Genomic DNA, 18503 nt, shown 5'->3' on the forward strand with positions numbered 1-18503 from the left:
ACTGACACCTCACACGGCCGGGTACTCCTCTGAGACAAAACTTCCAGAGGAACGATCAGGCAGCAGCATTTGCGGTTCACCAATATTCGCTGTTCTGCAGCCACTCTTGCTGATACCCAGGCAAACAGGGTCTGGAGTGGACCTCCAGTAAACTCCAACAGACCTGCAGCTCAGGGTCCTGACTGTTAGAAGGAAAACTAACAAACAGAAAGGACATCCACACCAAAAACCCATCTGTACGTCACCATCATCAAAGACCAAACGTAGATTAAATCACAAAGATGGGGAAAACACAGAGTAGAAAAACTGGAAAATCTAAAAATCACAGTGCCTCTCCTCCTCCAAAGGAAAGCAGCTCCTCACCAGCAACGGAACAAAGCTGGATGGAGAATGACTTTGACAAGTTGAGAGAGGAAGGCCTCAGAAGATCAAACTACTCCAAGCTAAAGGAGGAAGTTTGAACCAATGGCAAAGAAGTTAAAAACTTGGAAAAAAAAATTAGATGAATGGCTAACTAGAATAACCAATGCAGAGAAGCCCTTAAACAACCTGATGGAGCTGAAAACCACGGCACAAGAACTATGTGATGAATGCACAAGCCTCAGTAGCCGATGCGATCAACTGGAAGAAAGGGTATCAGCGATGGAAGACGAAATGAATGAAATGAAGCGTGAAGAGAAGTTTAGAGAAAAAAGAATAAAAAGAAATGAACAAAGCCTCCAAGAAATATGGGACTATGTGAAAAGACCAAATCTACATCTGATTGGTGTACCTGAAAGTGACAGGGAGAATGGAACCGAGTTGGAAAACACTCTGCAGGATATTATCCAGGAGAACTTCCCCAATCTAGCAAGGCAGGCCAACATTCAAATTCAGGAAATACAGAGAACGCCACAAAGATACTCCTCGAGAAGAGCAACTCCAAGACACATAATTGTCAGATTCACCAAAGTTGAAACGAAGGAAAAAATGTTAAGAGCAGCCAGAGAAAAAGGTCAGGTTACCCACAAAGGGAAGCCCATTAGACTAACAGCTGATCTCTCCGCAGAAACTCTGCAAGCCAGAAGAGAGTGGGGGCCAATATTCAACATTCTTAAAAGAATTTTCAACCCAGAATTTCATATCCAGCCAAACTAAGCTTCATAAGTGAAGGAGAAATAAAATCCTTTACAGACAAGCAAATGCTGAGAGATTTTGTCACCACCAGGCCTGCCCTAAAAGAGCTCCTGAAGGAAGCACTAAACATGGAAAGGAACAACCGCTACCAGCAACTGCAAAAACATGCCAAATTGTAAAGACCATCAAGGCTAGGAAGAAACTGCATCAACTAACGAGCAAAATAACCAGCTAACATCATAATGACAGGATCAAATTCACACATAACAACACTAACCTTAAATGTAAATGGGCTAAATGCTCCAATTAAAAGGCACAGACCGGCAAATTGGATAAAGAGTCAAGACCCATCAGTGTGCTGTATTCAGGAAACCCATCTCACATGCAGAGACACACATAGGCTCAAAATAAAGGGATGGAGGAAGATCTACCAAGCAAATGGAAAACAAAAAAAGGCAGAGGTTGCAATCCTAGTCTCTGATAAAACAGACTTTAAACCAACAAAGATCAAAAGAGACAAAGAAGGCCATTACATAATGGTAAAGGGATCAATTCAACAAGAAGAACTAACTGTCCTAAATATATATGCACCAAATACAGGAGCAGCCAGATTCATAAAGCAAGTCCTTAGTGACCTACAAAGAGACTTAGACTCCCACACAATAAGAATGGGAGATTTAACACCCCACTGTCAACATTAAACAGATCAACGAGACAGAAAGTTAACAAGGATATCCAGGAATTGAACTCAGCTCTGCACCAAGCAGACCTAATAGACATCTACAGAACTCCCCACCCCAAGTCAACAGAATATACATTCTTTTCAGCACCAAACCACACCTATTCCAAAATTGACCACATACTTGGAAGTAAAGCACTCCTCAGCAAATGTAAAAGAAAAGAAATTATAACAAACTGTCTCTCAGACCACAGTGCAATCAAACTAGAAGTCAGGATTAAGAAACTCACTCAAAACCGCTCAACTACATGGAAGACGAACAACCTGCTCCTGAATGACTACTGGGTACATAACGAAATGAAGGCAGAAATAAAGATGTTCTTTGAAACCAACAAGAACAAAGACACAACATACCAGAATCTCCGGGACATATTCAAAGCAGTGTGTAGAGGGAAATTTATAGCACTAAATGCCCACAAGAGAAAGCAGGAAAGATCTAAAATTCACACCCTAACATCACAATTAAAAGAACTAGAGAAGCAAGAGCAAACAAATTCAAAAGCTAGCAGAAGGCAAGAAATAACTAAGATCAGAGCAGAACTGAAGGAAATAGAGACACAAAAAACCCTTCAAAAAATCAATGAATCCAGGAGCTGGTTTTTTGAAAAGATCAACAAAATTGATAGACTTCTAGCAAGACTAATAAGAAGAAAAGAGAGAAGAATCAAATAGACACAATAAAAAATGACAAAGGGGATATCACCACCGATCCCACAGAAACACAAACTACCATCAGAGAATACTATAAACACCTCTACGCAAATAAAATAGAAAATCCAGAAGAAATGGATAAATTCCTCAACACATACACTCTCCCAAGACTAAACCAGGAAGAAGTTGAATCTCTGAACAGACCAATAACAGGCTCTGAAATTGAGGCAATAATTAATAGCTTACCAACCAAAAAGAGTCCAGGACCAGATGGATTCACAGCCGAATTCTACCAGAGGTACAAGGAGGAGCTGGTACCATTCCTTCTGAAACTATTCCAATCAATAGAAAAAGAGGGAATCCTCCTTAACTCATTTTGTGAGGCCAGCATCATCCTAATACCAAAGCCTGGCAGACACACAACAAAAAAAGAGAATTTTAGACCAATATCCTTGATGAACATTGATGTAAAAATCCTCAATAAAATACTGGCAAACCGAATCCAGCAACACATCAAAAAGCTTATCCACCATGATCAAGTGGGCTTCATCCCTGGGATGCAAGGCTGGTTCAACATACGCAAATCAATAAACGTAATCCAGCATATAAACAGAACCAAAGACAAAAACCACATGATTATCTCAATAGATGCAGAAAAGGCCTTTGACAAAATTCAACAACCCTTCATGCTAAAAACTCTCAATAAATTAGCTATTGATGGGACATATATCAAAATAATAAGAGCTATCTATGACAAACCCACAGCCAATATCATGCTGAATGAACAAAAACTGGAAGCATTCCCTTTGAAAACTGGCACAAGACAGGGATGCCCTCTCTCACCACTCCTATTCAACATAGTGTTGGAAGTTCTGGCCAGGGCAATCAGGCAGGATAAAGAAATAAAAGGTATTCAATTAGGAAAAGAGGAAGTCAAATTGTCCCTGTTTGCAGATGACATGATTGTATATTTAGAAAACCCCATTGTCTCAGCCCAAAATCTCCTTAAGCTGATAAGCAACTTCAGCAAAGTCTCAGGATACAAAATCAATGTGCAAAAATCACAAGCATTCTTATATACCAATAACAGACAAACAGCCAAATCATGAGTGAACTCCCATTCACAACTGCTTCAAAGAGAATACCTAGGAATCCAACTTACAAGGGATGTGAAGGACCTCTTCAAGGAGAACTACAAATGACTGCTCAATGAAATATGAAATAAAAGAGGATACAAACAAATGGAAGAATATTCCATGCTCATGGATAGGAAGAATCAATATCGTGAAAATGGCCATACTGCCCAAGGTAATTTACAGATTCAATGCCATCCCCATCAAGCTACCAATGACCCAATGACTTTCTTCACAGAACTGGAAAAAAAAACTACTTTAAAGTTCATATGGAACCAAAAAAGAGCCCACATTGCCAAGTCGATCCTAAGCAAAAAGAACAAAGCTGGAGGCATCACGCTACCTGACTTCAAACTATACTACAAGGCTACAGTAAACAAAACAGCATGGTACTGGTACCAAAACAGAGATACAGACCAATGGAACAGACCAGAGCCCTCAGAAATAATGCCACATATCTACAACTATCTGATCTTTGACAAACCTGACAAAAACAAGCAATGAGGAAAGGATTCCCTATTTAACAAATGGTGCTGGGAAAACTGGCTAGCCATATGTAGAAAGCTGAAACTGGATCACTTCCTTACACCTTATACAAAAATTAATTCAAGATGGATTAAAGACTTAAATGTTAGACCTAAAACCATAAAAACCCTAGAAGAAAACCTAGGCAATACCATTCAGGACATAGGCATGGGCAAGGACTTCATGTCTAAAACACCAAAAGCAATGGCAACAAAAGCCAAAATTGACAAATGAGATCTAATTAAACTAAAGAGCTTCTGCACAGCAAAAGAAACCAGCATCAGAGTGAACAGGCAACCTACAGAATGAGAGAAAATTTTCGCAACCTACTCGTCTGACAAAGGGCTAATATCCAGAATCTACAATGAACTCAAACAAATTTACAAGAAAAAAACAAACAACCCTATCAAAAAGTGGGCGAAGGATATGAACAGACACTTCTCAAAAGAAGACATTTATGCAGCCAAGAAACACATGAAAAAATGCTCATCATCACTGGCCATCAGAGAAATGCAAATCAAAACCACAGTGAGATACCATCTCACACCAGTTAGAATGGCAATCATTAAAAAGTCAGGAAACAACAGGTGCTGGAGAGGATGTGGAGAAATAGGAACACTTTTACACTGTTGGTGGGACTGTAAACTAGTTCAACCATTGTGGAAGTCGGTGTGGCGATTCCTCAGGGATCTAGAACTAGAAATACCATTTGACCCAGCCATCCCATTACTGGGTATATACCCAAAGGATTATAAATCATGCTGCCATAAAGACACATGCACACATATGCTTATTGCGGCACTATTCACAATAGCAAAGACTTGGAACCAACCGAAATGTCCAACAATTATAGACTGGATTAAGAAAATGTGGCACATATACACCATGGAATACTATGCAGCCATAAAAAATGATGAGTTCATGTCCTTTGTAGGGACATGGATGAAGCTGGAAAGCATCATTCTCAGCAAACTATTGCAAGGACAAAAAAACCAAACACCGCCTGTTCTCACTCATAGGTGGGAATTAAACAATGAGAACACATGGACACAGGAAAGGGAACATCACACACCGGGGACTGTTGTGGGGTGGGTGGAGGGGGGAGGGATAGCATTAGGTGATATGCCTAATGCTAAATGACGAGTTAATGGGTGCAGCACACCAACATGGCACATGTATACATATGTAACAAACCTGCACGTTGTACACATGTACCCTAAAACTTAAAGTGTAATAATAATAAAAAAAATAAAAAGAAGATCAGCTTCGATGATTGCTCTCAAATGGTCGTTGTCAACTTCGGATGGCCAGCCACCATGCTACTCATCTTCAAGGCTCTTGTCTCCTTTGCAAAACTTTTGTTTGTTTGTTTGTTTTTGAGACAGAGTCTTGCTCTGTCACCCAGGCCTGATTGCAGTGGCCTGATCTTGGCTCACTGCAACCTCCGCCTCCTGGGTTCAAATGATTCTCTTGCCTCAGACTCCCAAGAAGCTGGGATTGCAGGTGCACACAATCATGCCCAGCTAATTTTTGCATTTTTATTAAAGATGGGTTTTTGCCATGTTGGCCAGGCTGGTCTTGAACTCCTGGCCCCAAGTGATCCACCCACCTCAGCCTCCCAAAATGCTGGGATTACAGGTGTGAGACACCATGCCCAACCTCCTTTACAAAACTTCTTGAACCACCACTGCATTGTACATTCGTTAGCAGCTCCTGGGCTAAATGCATTGTTGATGTTGTCAGTTGTCTTCACTGATTTACTACCCATTTTGAACTCAAATAAGAAAATTTCTCAAATTTGCTTTCTGTCTAATATCATTGCCATAGTCTAAAATAAACATAAAATAAACAGCAAGTAATAATTAGCAAGAAAAATATAACAAAAAATGCCCATTAAAATGATGTATAACATAACCACATTTATTTAAGAATGTATTCCAATGTCAAATGGAAACTTCCAACAATGCAAAAAACACAATTACTATTGCAGTCAATATTACCAGATGGTGTTCTACTTTTTGTAACACACAAAGTCTCATCCTGAGGCCCTGTCCCTGCATTTTTGGGAGTGGGAAGGCAGAGACTACTCTGATAATTCTTCTTTCAAGGAAAGGTTGAGAACAACTCACCCATAGTTTTTTTGGAAGGAACAGCATTCATTTTTTCCCTGAGATCTTTTCCCTTTGTGAGGAGAAAACAGGGATCAGAAACATTGCCCATTTTCAAACTAGAGATCACATCTGTTATGGAAGATACTGTGACAAAACAGCATTTCCACACAAAAAGTCATATTGTTGCTTGGCTGGCCTCACAATAATATTCTGTCGTATAAATGATTCACTATTTAATTCCTGCCCTACTCAATGGCTCCCCACAATTTTCAAAAGAATATTTCAACATCCTAGCTTAGCATTGTTTATACATGAAGTGAGTCCTGCTTTCTACCTTAGCCTCCTCTGCTTGGCTGGAAGTGTTGCCCATCAAAATCTGTTCTCCTTCTTCTATAATAACAGAGTTGAGGCTAGGGGCATAAGTTAGAGACTGTATTTTCTAATATCCTCTATATCTAGGACTAAGTTGTCCCAATGTGAGCCAAAAGGGTGAGCTTTAGAGCAATGGACATTTTCTCCTCCTATGATCTTTTCCTTTTCCCATAGGTGGGAACATAATGGGAAAACTTCAATCAATCAAATGAGGTAACACTCAAGGAAGAAGCGGATCAATGAGGAAAAAGGAGCCTGGGTTCTTGAATGACCTCATGGAGCAGAGTTGCTTGTGAGCCTAAACCATCTGGACTGTTGCATCGGAGAGAAATGGCATTCTCTCTTATGAAAGCTGTTTAATGCTTAGGTCTCTTTGATACACTAGCTTAGGCTTTGCCCCAACTCACACATACCCTTTTGTCATAGGTGGGGTTCCCTAGCAATCAGTCTCTGAGACTTTGATACATATGCATGCAGGTGGTTTAGTAGCGAGTGCCCTCCTTAGTATCATGGATAAGGACAGTAGGATTTGGCAGAGGGAGAATGTAAACCACTTGAAGTGGTAACAGAGGCCACAGATGACCCTAGAGGAAGTTTTAGATTTGAAATGGCCCTTCAGATTTGTTGAGGCAAGAAGGCCAGATAGTCATACCTCCGTAGTGACCAGTCATTATATACAGATGGCCTTGGCGAGGAGAGGAAATATGAGTGAGGACGCTGTCTTTGGCTAAGAGAAATACCTAACTAGGGGCTCAGTTGAGAGCCTAGAGCCATCAATATATCCAGTAGTTAGGGATGAGTTCCTCAGCCCAAAAGGGGATCTTGGTGACACACCACAGCACCACAGCCACTTCAGTTTACATCTTGAACTCCTCAGATCCACTTGATTCATATAATAATACATTCTTGAAACAGCAAATTGTGGATTCTGGTTGGCCTCTTTCCTCAAGGAAACACAAACTTCAGCCCCCACACTGCTGCTGGTGTCAGTGGTTGAAACTGGTTCACATCATTTCCTCCTCTATCACCTTTTCCAAATTCCTCTCACTCTCTGCAAACACCTCTGTCGATCTCCATCGCTTCCATAGTGGGATGACTCAGAACTTCAATCCTAAAAGATCCAAGCCCTGGTCTCCAGGCTGTCGTTAGGCTTTTGCTGTAGTACTTGTCCCTTGGCAGGGGAGTACCAAGAAATAGGCTTTTGCTGTAGTACTTGTCCCTTGGCAGGGGAGTACCAAGAAATAGGCTTTTGCTGTAGTACTTGTCCCTTGGCAGGGGAGTACCAAGAAATGCTCCATGGATTACGTGGGTGCAAAACATACAGTTTTCTTCACCCCTAAAGTAACAGCAGCCCTACCTCCACCTGATGATCAGGGTCAAGTATCCACGGCAGAATGGTGACTCCTTTTTTGCCTACTGGTTTGTTGGCATAATCAAGCCTAAGTGACCAGATGGCAATTCTTGCCTAATAATGGAACTTTTGTTATATCCTCCAGCGAAAGTGCTGGTTCTCGAAAACCAGAAATTGTAAACACACTGATCACAGAGTTGTGCAGGGAGAAAATGCAAATTTCCCAAGTGGGTCACTAAGAGTGACAGTAAGAGAATTCCCTTCCGCTTCTACTCTTCTGTTCCTGGACCAATGTATTCTTTCTATTGTGAACAAAACATTAAATCATCATTGATGTAGAGTAGATACCACATCGTATAGGATGGGGCCACATTCTCATGAGGTATCATCTCCAAATTGGTGCCCACTTCGACTAAGCCAATCAATAAGTTGATTAGGTTGGCAACTTCTGGGGTTGGTGGCAGGATCAATGGATTCCATGGCCATATGCCCACTACAACACTTCCTTTGCCAAAAAAAAGCCCTTGGTATTATATAGGATTCTTTGTTGGTGTACCATATACCCTAATGATGACAAAGACCTTGCATAAGTCAAATTCATACACAAATATACAAAAATAAGTGATGATTCCAATCAACATGAATAGTTGCTTCTCCCGGGGTGGAAGAGTTCTAATGTAATCAACTTGCCACCACTCAGTAACTGATCTACATAAGGGAAGGAACTATGTCAGCAGCTGAGCATTGATTGGGGTTGCTGACACATTAGAGATTAGCCAACAAAAGTAGCTAGGTCAGCCTTGGTGAGTAAGAGTCCATGATATTGGATCCATGAAAAGCCTCTTCCTTGCCATCATAACTACTCCATTATGCCAGCACTGAGTGGCTGAAGAGAGAGCTAGCTAATGTCAACTGCTGAAATCCTTCTGTCTATTTAGTTATTTATTGCTTCTTCCTTGATGGATGCTTTATGGAGGCTTTCACATGTGAAATAAGGACATTTACTCTTTTTACTCACTCCTGTAAGTTTTTACATATGCCTCTTCTCCAGATCATTTTGTTCCACATCTTCTAATATTTCTTCTTCTTGGCCCCTGATCAACCGATGAAGCTATTCACCACTATCCATGAGTTTTTCTCTATTTTTATATTGGACCACTTTTATTTTCATACAAAGTGCTTGTCTAGGTGTGCTGTTAGAATCTCCACTCATTGACAGAGTCCCCTCTTACTACTATCTCCATAAAGGTTATCCCTGAATGGGACTGTAATGCAGCTATGATCCATTTTTGACTTGCACCCACATGTTGAGCTGATTCACACATTAACCAAAATTGATCTTTTCCTCTGCTTTCAGCTTCTGTTGGAGATCTGGCATCTCTTTCAGGATTTCAGGTTCAGAAACCATCTGAGGTCTAGAGACTGGGCAAGGGGCTTGGCTGCTGTGTTCAGCCTTTTGATCATCCATCTTTGATTTCTTTTGATTGTGTAAACTGAGTAAGCTCTTGTTGGCCCTCACCCCATTTATTTTGCCCCCAGGGCCGCTGTAGTCTATTAACCATCTCTCAATTCCGTTTTTGTCTCCATTATGCCAGCACTGTTTTGGAAAAAAGAGCTCGGAGTCGCAGGGAAAACGAGCACTCAAACAAAAGATTTATCATGTCAACCACTAAAGTCCTTCTGCCTATTTAGTTATTTCTTGCTTCTTCCTTGATGGATGCTTTATGGAGGCTTTTACATGTGAAATAAAGATATTTACTCTTCTTGTGAAATGTTACTCCCATTCTATTAACTTGGCTCCCAACCAAGCTAACACTTCAACCTTGCCCCTCATTATAAAAAATATCCTTGCCTCTGATAGTCAAGGGTCACCACCTGACCTCTATTTCTTGGAATTCTATTACTCTCATTGTTATCAGTCTACTCAGTTTTCTAACAGCATCCCCTACCATCAGTCACTGCTGAGTTTCTCTGCCATGCTGGAACCTGTCTCACCAACGTGTTCCTGATCACTTAAGTAAAATGAGTATCCACCAGGTCATCCTGATGAAGATATTAGCCAGCAGGTTTCCCAGCCTTACAGAGTATTTCCATTTGAGCATGACTGCCTCTCTGAGCCTTATGTTCCCTTCTTGCACCATCTGCCAGGGCACAACAACAGTCAAAGGTGTAACCAAGAATCTCAGAAGGAGAAGTTGAGCTATGGTCCAGTTGTGTCAGAGGCTTCAGAAGACCTTACTGACATCTCTTGAAATGGGATGAATATTCAGAATTTTCTGCCTTAAATTAAGGGGAAGAGGTCTTTGTACCTTTATATTTTGGATGTATACTGTCCCAGGGGAAGGTGTGTAAACTTAGACAAGGCAGCTCCCTTTGGTTGAGGGCAATTTCCAAAAGAAGGTAAGCGGAGATTTCACAGCCATCATCACTCCCAGCAGCTGGAAGGTTGCGTGTTACAATCTCCAAGTGGCAGAGTGGGTCATACACTAGAGCACCCATCTCAGCAGTATTCACTACACTTCACACAAAGATGATCCTCAACAGCAATTGCCAAAATCATCCCCTCCTATCTTGGCACCTGCAGCTTTCCCATCTCAGCTCTTCTCCATATAGCTAACTCCTACTTACTCTTCAAAACAGCTCAAATATTGCTTTTCTGTCTTCCCTGACCCCTCTTAGCCTACTCTGCTTTACTGTCTCTCCTGTTTTGCTCCCACAGTAACTTTTATCATCATTTTATCACATTATATTGGAATAATTATTGAAACCCACTTTAAATAGTAAACTCCTTGAGGGAAGGGACAACTTCTTGCCCTCCTTTACACCCCTCAGGTTGACATGTTGCCTGGCATATAGCAGGCACACATCCAATGTGATTTATTAAATGTGTGAGTGGGTAAATGAATGACTGAATACATTAATGAATGTTCACATACGCTCTCATTTTATTTCCAAAAAGAATTTGAGGCAGCCAAGTTCCAAAAAACCCAACATACTGCAGCTTATGGAGTAGTAGCTCAAAATATGCGAAACCTGGCAGAAATGCACGTCTCACTCTATAGAATGGCACACTATTGGGGTATAAATATGAATCTTGGAAAAACCCTGATTTCAAGCTACAGATGCCCAGATTGGTGACAGCAGGGTATCTTCTCACAAGGACCAGAGATCCCAGCCAATAGCACTTTCAAGAATGTGCAAGCAAAGAGTTAACAGTCTCACAGCTGCCTTTCATTGGAGGTGTTAATGAGGTGACAGGGGGGAAGGATTTTAAAAAGAAATTGCCTTCAGTCATTCCAGTTAAATTCCAGTACAATGGAAAGGCACGAAGCTCTCTCCACTCCTCCTCTCTCTCGACCCCTCCCCTCATCTTAATGGGGTCTGACCTTAGCTCTGTGGTTGCATGCCTCAGTCCACAAAAGACTTGGAACGGCCCCCTTGGTTTCCAAACCTCAGGTTGCCTTGGGGAAGTTACTAAAATTTGGTTGCCGGAGATACTTAGGTTAGAGAAAATGAGTCAAAAAATAATGTGTGGTGAGACAGTCGTAGGATGTCATCTGCGAGAACAATCAGGAACCCAGGCATGAAGTCATTCCAATGTACTTTTTTACTTGTCTGTTTGGAAATTCTGTTTCTCTGGCATGAATCAGGAATAGACGACAATGTTTTAGAAGGAACGGATACTTTTCTGAGTCTTTGAAAAAGATCCCAAGCATGGCCAAAAGACAAAATGGCCACTCCAGCCAAAAGTTTTCAACGTCCCACAGTAGCCACCTCACAGTGAAGTTAGAGATAAAAGGATGCTGCAGTGGGTAGGTATGGATATGGAAGGGAAGTGCTGGGAAGGGCAGGGTGTGGTCCCTTTAAATGATAAGCCAGGGAAGTCCCGGGTAGAGGAGGGCGTGGTCCCTGGCTAGGGCTCCAACGGGGGGGGGGGGGGGGGGGGGAGCCCTGGGCCCTGTGCCCACGGACCTAGGTGAAGACAGGCATTTTTATTTGCATTTCCCAAGGCTACCCTGGCCTGCCACGCCCCCATCCTGGGCCTATGAAAGCTCGGAGACCCTAGCCGGCAGACACACAGGTGGCTGGACGTATAGAGGAGCACATCAGTGGAGGAACACGTGGGTGGCTGAATGTCAAGAGGAACGCCCAGACAGACACCGGCACGCGGGCAAGCCATCCACCCGGGGAATGAAGCAGAGTTGGGCGGGGCAGTCAGAAGAGAGCTCGGGCCACTGAGCAGCCCGATTCCAGGGGAAAACCTTCCCACTCCATCCCCTTCCACCTTCCCCCATCTGCTGAGAGCTACCTCCACTCAATAAAACCTTGCACTCATTCTCCAAACCCAGGTGTGATCCAATTCTTCCAGTACACCGAGGCAAGAACTCTGGGATAAAGAGAGCCCTCTGTCCTTGCGACAAGGTAGAGGGTCTAATTGAGCTGGTTAACACAAGTCGCCTATAGACAGCTAAACTAAAAGAGCACATGGTAGCACATGCCCACTGGGGCTTGAGGAGCTGTGAACATTCATCCCTAGACACTGCCCTGGGATCGGAGCCCCACAGCCTGCCCATCTGTATGCTCCCCTAGAGGTTTCACCAGCAGGGCACTGAAGAAGCCAACCACTACCCCATCACACGTCCTGCAAGCGGGACAAGGGAACCTTTCCCGTTTCGGTATTGCTTATGGCACCAATGATTTCAATTTCTGAGGAGACTACTCCCTTGAGGAAAACATCTATTGTTGACGCCTATATGATATATAGAGAAGGACGCAGGCTAGGGAGTCAAAGAGATACATGTGTGTATAAATTTGGGCAAGCAGAAACTGTCTCATTTCTCACCTGTAAAATGGGGCTTATGATCCTACCTTTAGGATTACTGCAAGGCTGAAATGTGATAAGATGTGAAAAATATTTAGCACAAGACCTAAGGACATAATCAAAATTATTATCAATGAGGAGGATTTGCCAAGGAATTCTCGGCTCGTGGCAGAAGATGTATGCTATTTATGTGTACAATACTGACATACCTTATGTACCATGAGTACAGGAAGAGGCTCCTTCATTTTCTTCGGACCTGTTAAGAGAAAAAATGAGAAGAAATCCTAGTTGTTCAACCAGGATGTATCACTGCGTTCAGAAATTACTTAATCTCTTTGAGCCTTGATTTCCTTCTCGATAAAATGGGGCTCTTATGACCTACTTCGCAGGGTGTCTATGACATTTAAATGAGTTAGCAAATTTAAGCAAATAGTACAGTCCCTGGCTCAAAAAAACCTCCAGTCGCTTACTAATGATTTGTTCCAATGACAAATAGCCTTCAATCTGACTTTTATTTTCTAGTAAACAGATTCATAATTATTAAACAATATCTATTCCAGCTCCTCATCAACATCAACATGTGTGAAGTAAAACTTTTTCATGGTCATCAAAAAATTTGTAGAGCTTAGGCATAGGCCAGAGCAACGGCTATGCAAGCAACATTTTGCACATTTTACAGAGCGGATCTGGATTCTAGAATGCTGAGAGGGGAGAGCAAGAAGCCTCTAGACCAGCTATTTGCTTTTCCATTTACTAAAAACAAACAGCATCAAGAACAATCCATAAACGTTTAGACCAGCAAAGGAAAAATATTACCTTTTTTTGAAATGGTGGATAAATCAGGAAATCCTTTTGTCGTATGTTAGTTTAAAATTAAAAATAGAAGAATTTCTGTAACTTCCATCCAATTTGCTGTGAACCTAAAACTGTTGTAAAAAAAATAAAGTCTATTTTTATTAACAGAAGAGAACTGGATCAGTTCAGGCATATTTTCAAAACAAAAATAGAACTTTAATGTATCTTATTTTTAAATTTTTGTATCAGATGAAAGTGTATTGAAATCCATTTAACAATAAATAGATACCTTTGAAAATAATAACATTTGAAAAGTACTTGCATAGTTAATATTTTATTTTGTCCTCATTACAATCCTGTGAAACAGCTATGGTGAGTTTATTATTCCCCATCTTTTTACAAATGGGACTTGGAAAGATTAATAATAGGACCAAGATAACAGCAAGTTGTCACAGTAGTCAAAATCGCCATTCACATCTCCTTACTTCTTCCCCCAGCAAATCACAGTGCATTTCACACAGAAGGAATATAATGTAAGGAATTGGCTACAAAGATACTGGAAGGGCTGGAGAGGAAAAATAGGAGAAGACACACAAGTAGAAAACGATGCGTATTCTTGTGGTTAAAATTATTGGAAGGAGAAAAGAAGAATGAGACTGAAAGAGAGAACGAGATGTTCTTAAAGTCTGGTGAGAGGTCTTGGTGCCAATTCACCATCCAAATATATGGTTTCTCAGGGAAACTTAATACCCACATCTTGTGACACTGGACCTAGCCTCATTATTGATTTTTGCCTTAGAATAAAAATACAGAAAATTAAAAAATTACTTTTAAAAAAACAACATAGCAACAGAGAACATACACAATTTAAAAGGCATTCCTGAGAACTAAAATCATTCATGGCCTCCTGTTTCGGTCTGGTGCTGCAATCCCATCAGCTCTCCTGAGCAAGCTGTGGTGGGCCCAAGCTAGGAAAGAGGACTAGGACCCACTGAGGTACATTGGGAAAGTGGGGGTCTCTGGATGTACCTTGTTTCAGGAGCTCCTTGATCTAGGAATAATGCAGTGTTGAAGGCCTGAGTGCTCTTAGTGAACCCATAAAACTGAAGTACAAATATTCTGGGTGTTAACCATATACTCAAGCACAGACTGAAATAAAAATTGTAGTCGTGATGTCATCAAATGACTGGGATTTTCCACAATTATAATTGTTATTTATTGACTTTACTATTTGCCAAATATTTTGCTGAATGTTTTCGTGTATAATCTCATTCGGTCCTCACCAAAACCATATGGGGTAGTTATTTTTACTATTCCCATTTTAAAGATGGGAAATTGAAGTTAAGAGGTTAAGTGCCTTTCCCAAAGTCACACAACTAGTGGAAAGAGGAACTGTGATATGAGCCCAGGCAGTTTAATAGTAGGGACACATTCATAACCAGTACCATTTTCTTTCTTTCTTCCTTCCTTCCTTCCTTCCTTCCTTCCTTCCTCCTTCCCTTCCTTCCTTCCTCCCTTCCTTCTTTCTTTCCTTCTTTCCCTCTTTCCTTCCTTCCTTCCTTCTTTCTTTTCTTTCTTTCTTTCTTTCTTTCTTTCTTTCTTTCTTTCGTTCTTTCTTTCTTCAGGGCCTTCCTCTGTCATCCAGTCTGGAGTGCACTGGTGCCATCAAGGCTCACTGCAGCTTCAACCTTCCAGGCTCAAGCAATCATTTTCCCGCCTCAACACACACCACCCCCACAACCCAACCAGTAGCTGGGACTACAGGTACATGCCCCCAGGACTGGCTGATTTTTGTATTTTTTGTAGAGACAGGATTTCACCATGTTTCCCAGGCTGCTCCTGAATCCCTGGGCTCAAGTGATCCACCCATCTCGGCCTCTCAAAGTGTTAAGAGTTACAGGTGTGAGCCACCACATCCCACCCAGTGCCATTTTTTTCCTTCATTGGAAGGGTGACTTTTCCTTCCTAATTCCTGTTCTAAACCCCTCAGTCCTTCTTGGCATGAAATACCTACTGTTGTTTGGCCAGGGAAAGTCATAAAGAGTATAAACAACAATTTGCTTTCCAAATACTTTATACTCATAGATATCCCATCAATTACAGTTCTTTATACCAAGCAATGGGTCACTTTCTTTTCTGCACACAGTGCACTGTTCTTTCCCAAAAGGGACATGGCACGTAACTGGCACAATTGACTCATGACCTTTTTAAATATTTTGTTTTGTTGCTGTTTTCCTCCTGGAGGAACTCACCCCTAAAGCAACATTATAGCTCTGACTTAGAAGTTTGAATTAGGGAATTTAAAATGTCATTTTATAAACGCACCTAGGGTCAATTCAGTCTTAAAAAAAATAGACACTAACATTAAGACTAAATAAAGGGTAAGATGGGATGGCAAGCTGACATCTCAGGGTGTGAACGCTTTCAACCAGCTTCACAGAGTCTTGTTTTGTTTTGTTTTTTATTTTGCTATCTCCATCTATGTTCATTTGTGTGGAATATTTAAACAGTAATACATTTCCTAAACTTTTGTTAATACAAAGGAATTTCTAACTCCTATCCAAAACCATTACAACAGTAACTAAGATTGTATTATGTCAATGAATGTGTTAGCTACAAATTATTAATTTTTTCTAGGCATAAATAATGGACATAAATTTGGAGAAATCCTATCAGAAAAGAAAACAGAAATTTAATAAAGGGAATATGCCACCTTCCATTTAATATAGGACATTTGCCAAAACAAGATAAGCATGCTAACCAGAATTTCAACACTTTCTAGGTGTTAGAAATGTTCACCTTTATTGCTAATATGTAAGTCCTCCTCTTTCACCTCCTAAGCTCATGCCAAGGCTGAGAGCTACACTGCAGTGATTGGGGAGCTACTATCCTGGCCTTGAAAGATAATCACCCTCTGCACAGCTAAGCATTTGGCAAAGCCATGGATTCAGGAGCACCGAAGAGCTCTGAAATAGTAATATTTTAATTATTGCTTTTTTAAACATATGCTTAAATTGCATTTTCCAGCTAAGAAGCAGTTTCAACTATCATTCATATCTCACTCACAAAAGAAGGTTCTCAGGCCAACTTGGCAGCTTTGAGCAATTCGGCTGATCTGGAAATCTTTCAGCTCCCCAGTTAGAATCCTTCATGTTCAAATCCAGGTGTCAAAACTTTTACTGAGTGACAGAACTACTGCTTAACGGCCACTCTCACCTGCTACTGTCACTGAGATATAACTACCACTATGTTTAGAGCTACCTCAGGAAGAGGATTGTCAAGCCATATGTTGCAAAGTCACTGCTACATGTCTCTTAGCTGTTTCAGTCAGTACAACTGTGAGATTTCTCACCCAGCAGCAGCTTTGAGTCCATTAGATAGATCAGTTAAACCAGGGATTTAGCTCAGGACTAACAGCACATTAGGCCAATCCATATACCTAGAGTGACCGCACACTCACTTTGCTGGGATAGCCCTGGTCTATGCGTATTGTCAAAATACAATTATCAATACTGCCCACTTCCACTGTCAAAGTTGTACCAGTTTGGATAACTATAATATATGGTCACTTGGACAATACCTATTAAAGACCAAGAGACCAGGTTGAGATATATCTTAATGCAAACACCCACACTAATAGGCTTCATAGCTCACCTCACCTCCCTCCTGGCAGTTGCCAGAAATTCCACTGTTAAATCTTCAAGCCATAGCGTATTGTACTTTAGTACTTATCAAAGTGTCTGACACGAAGTATTTATCCATTTTGTGAAATGGAAAATGTCAAATCACAAGGCATATTGCTCATTCATACAATCAAAAGAGTATTTATTGTATCTCTACTGTTTGCAGGCATTGCGCTAGGAGCTGGGGATCTACAATGAAGCAGGTATAATTACTGTCCTGAAGGAGATAACAGGCTCATGGGATAGTCTGATTTAAAATACAGTTTTAGTGAGATCAGTGGTATAAATCTCATGTACTGTAGGAGTATACAGAAGGGCCAACTCATCCAGCCTTGAGAAATCTAGGGAGACTTCTTGGAAAACGGGGACATACAACTAAAGGAGAGGAAATAAGATAGAGCCAGGTTCTTTTCTACATTTTATGTGCAAAGGCACATTAAGAGACCTGAAAGTCTTCAGCATGGCTGGAGTGAGGACAGAAGTAGTGAGGGATGAGGCTGGCAGCAGGAGGCAGAGGAGCACAGGGAAGGCCATATATGCCACATTAAGAAGATAGACTTTATCCTGGGGTCATAGAGAGCCAGAACAAGGTTTTACATAGAAAAGCGACTTGATCAGATTTGATCTTACAGTGGTATCTCTGGCTGCCATCTTATGACTATAGGTAGTATGTTTGCTCTTAGGCAAAGAAGAGGACATCACTTTTGTGTTTTATTTGAATGCTCTGAATCTCTATGGAGAACATTCTCCTTCATCAAGTCAACCATAACTCAATAGTGAGACATTCTGGAGCTCCAGGGCTTATTTTTCTGGTGCCTTTGGCCAAACCACACTAGGCTGACTTGTACCTCAATTTTCTAGTCTGTAAAATATGGACTGTTGTATTCATCTTTCACATGGGGTGATGTGAGGAAACGCTAATGAGAAGCAGCCAACTTAGAAAACAAGTATTACAGAAATGCTTAATAAGTCCAAATAGCCAAGAAAGATGAAATGTGTGTGTTCAAGTGTTCAAGTGTGCAGTAGAAGTGTTTCAACTATAGATTTAATGATGTGGAGGCTCATTTTCACTAGGGCTGTCTGTACCAGCTTAAATCTGAGCCTGGGGTGGCAGCCCTGCTCACCAATTAAGAGCAGGTGACAATCTGAAACCATCCTGCTTAAGATATTTCAAGAGACCAAACATTTAGTTTTAAAAGAGTTAC

General features: G+C 41.2%; 1 long non-coding RNA gene across 3 annotated transcripts in view; it reads right to left on the reverse strand.

Annotated features, from left to right (window-relative positions):
* LOC101929507 (uncharacterized) overlaps positions 1-18503 on the reverse strand; it is a 203870-nt gene that overhangs the window by 179298 nt on the left and 6069 nt on the right. For all 3 annotated transcript variants that reach the window (XR_001746621.2, XR_001746620.2, XR_001746622.1), the window contains exons 3-4: positions 13637-13746; positions 13030-13076 (exon numbers count right to left, since the gene is read on the reverse strand). This is a non-coding gene — a long non-coding RNA (uncharacterized LOC101929507). The remainder of the gene's footprint in view (positions 1-13029; positions 13077-13636; positions 13747-18503) is intronic.

The sequence above is a fragment of the Homo sapiens genome, chromosome 9, assembly GCF_000001405.40.
Source record: "Homo sapiens chromosome 9, GRCh38.p14 Primary Assembly".
NCBI classification, from domain to species: domain Eukaryota; kingdom Metazoa; phylum Chordata; class Mammalia; order Primates; family Hominidae; genus Homo; species Homo sapiens.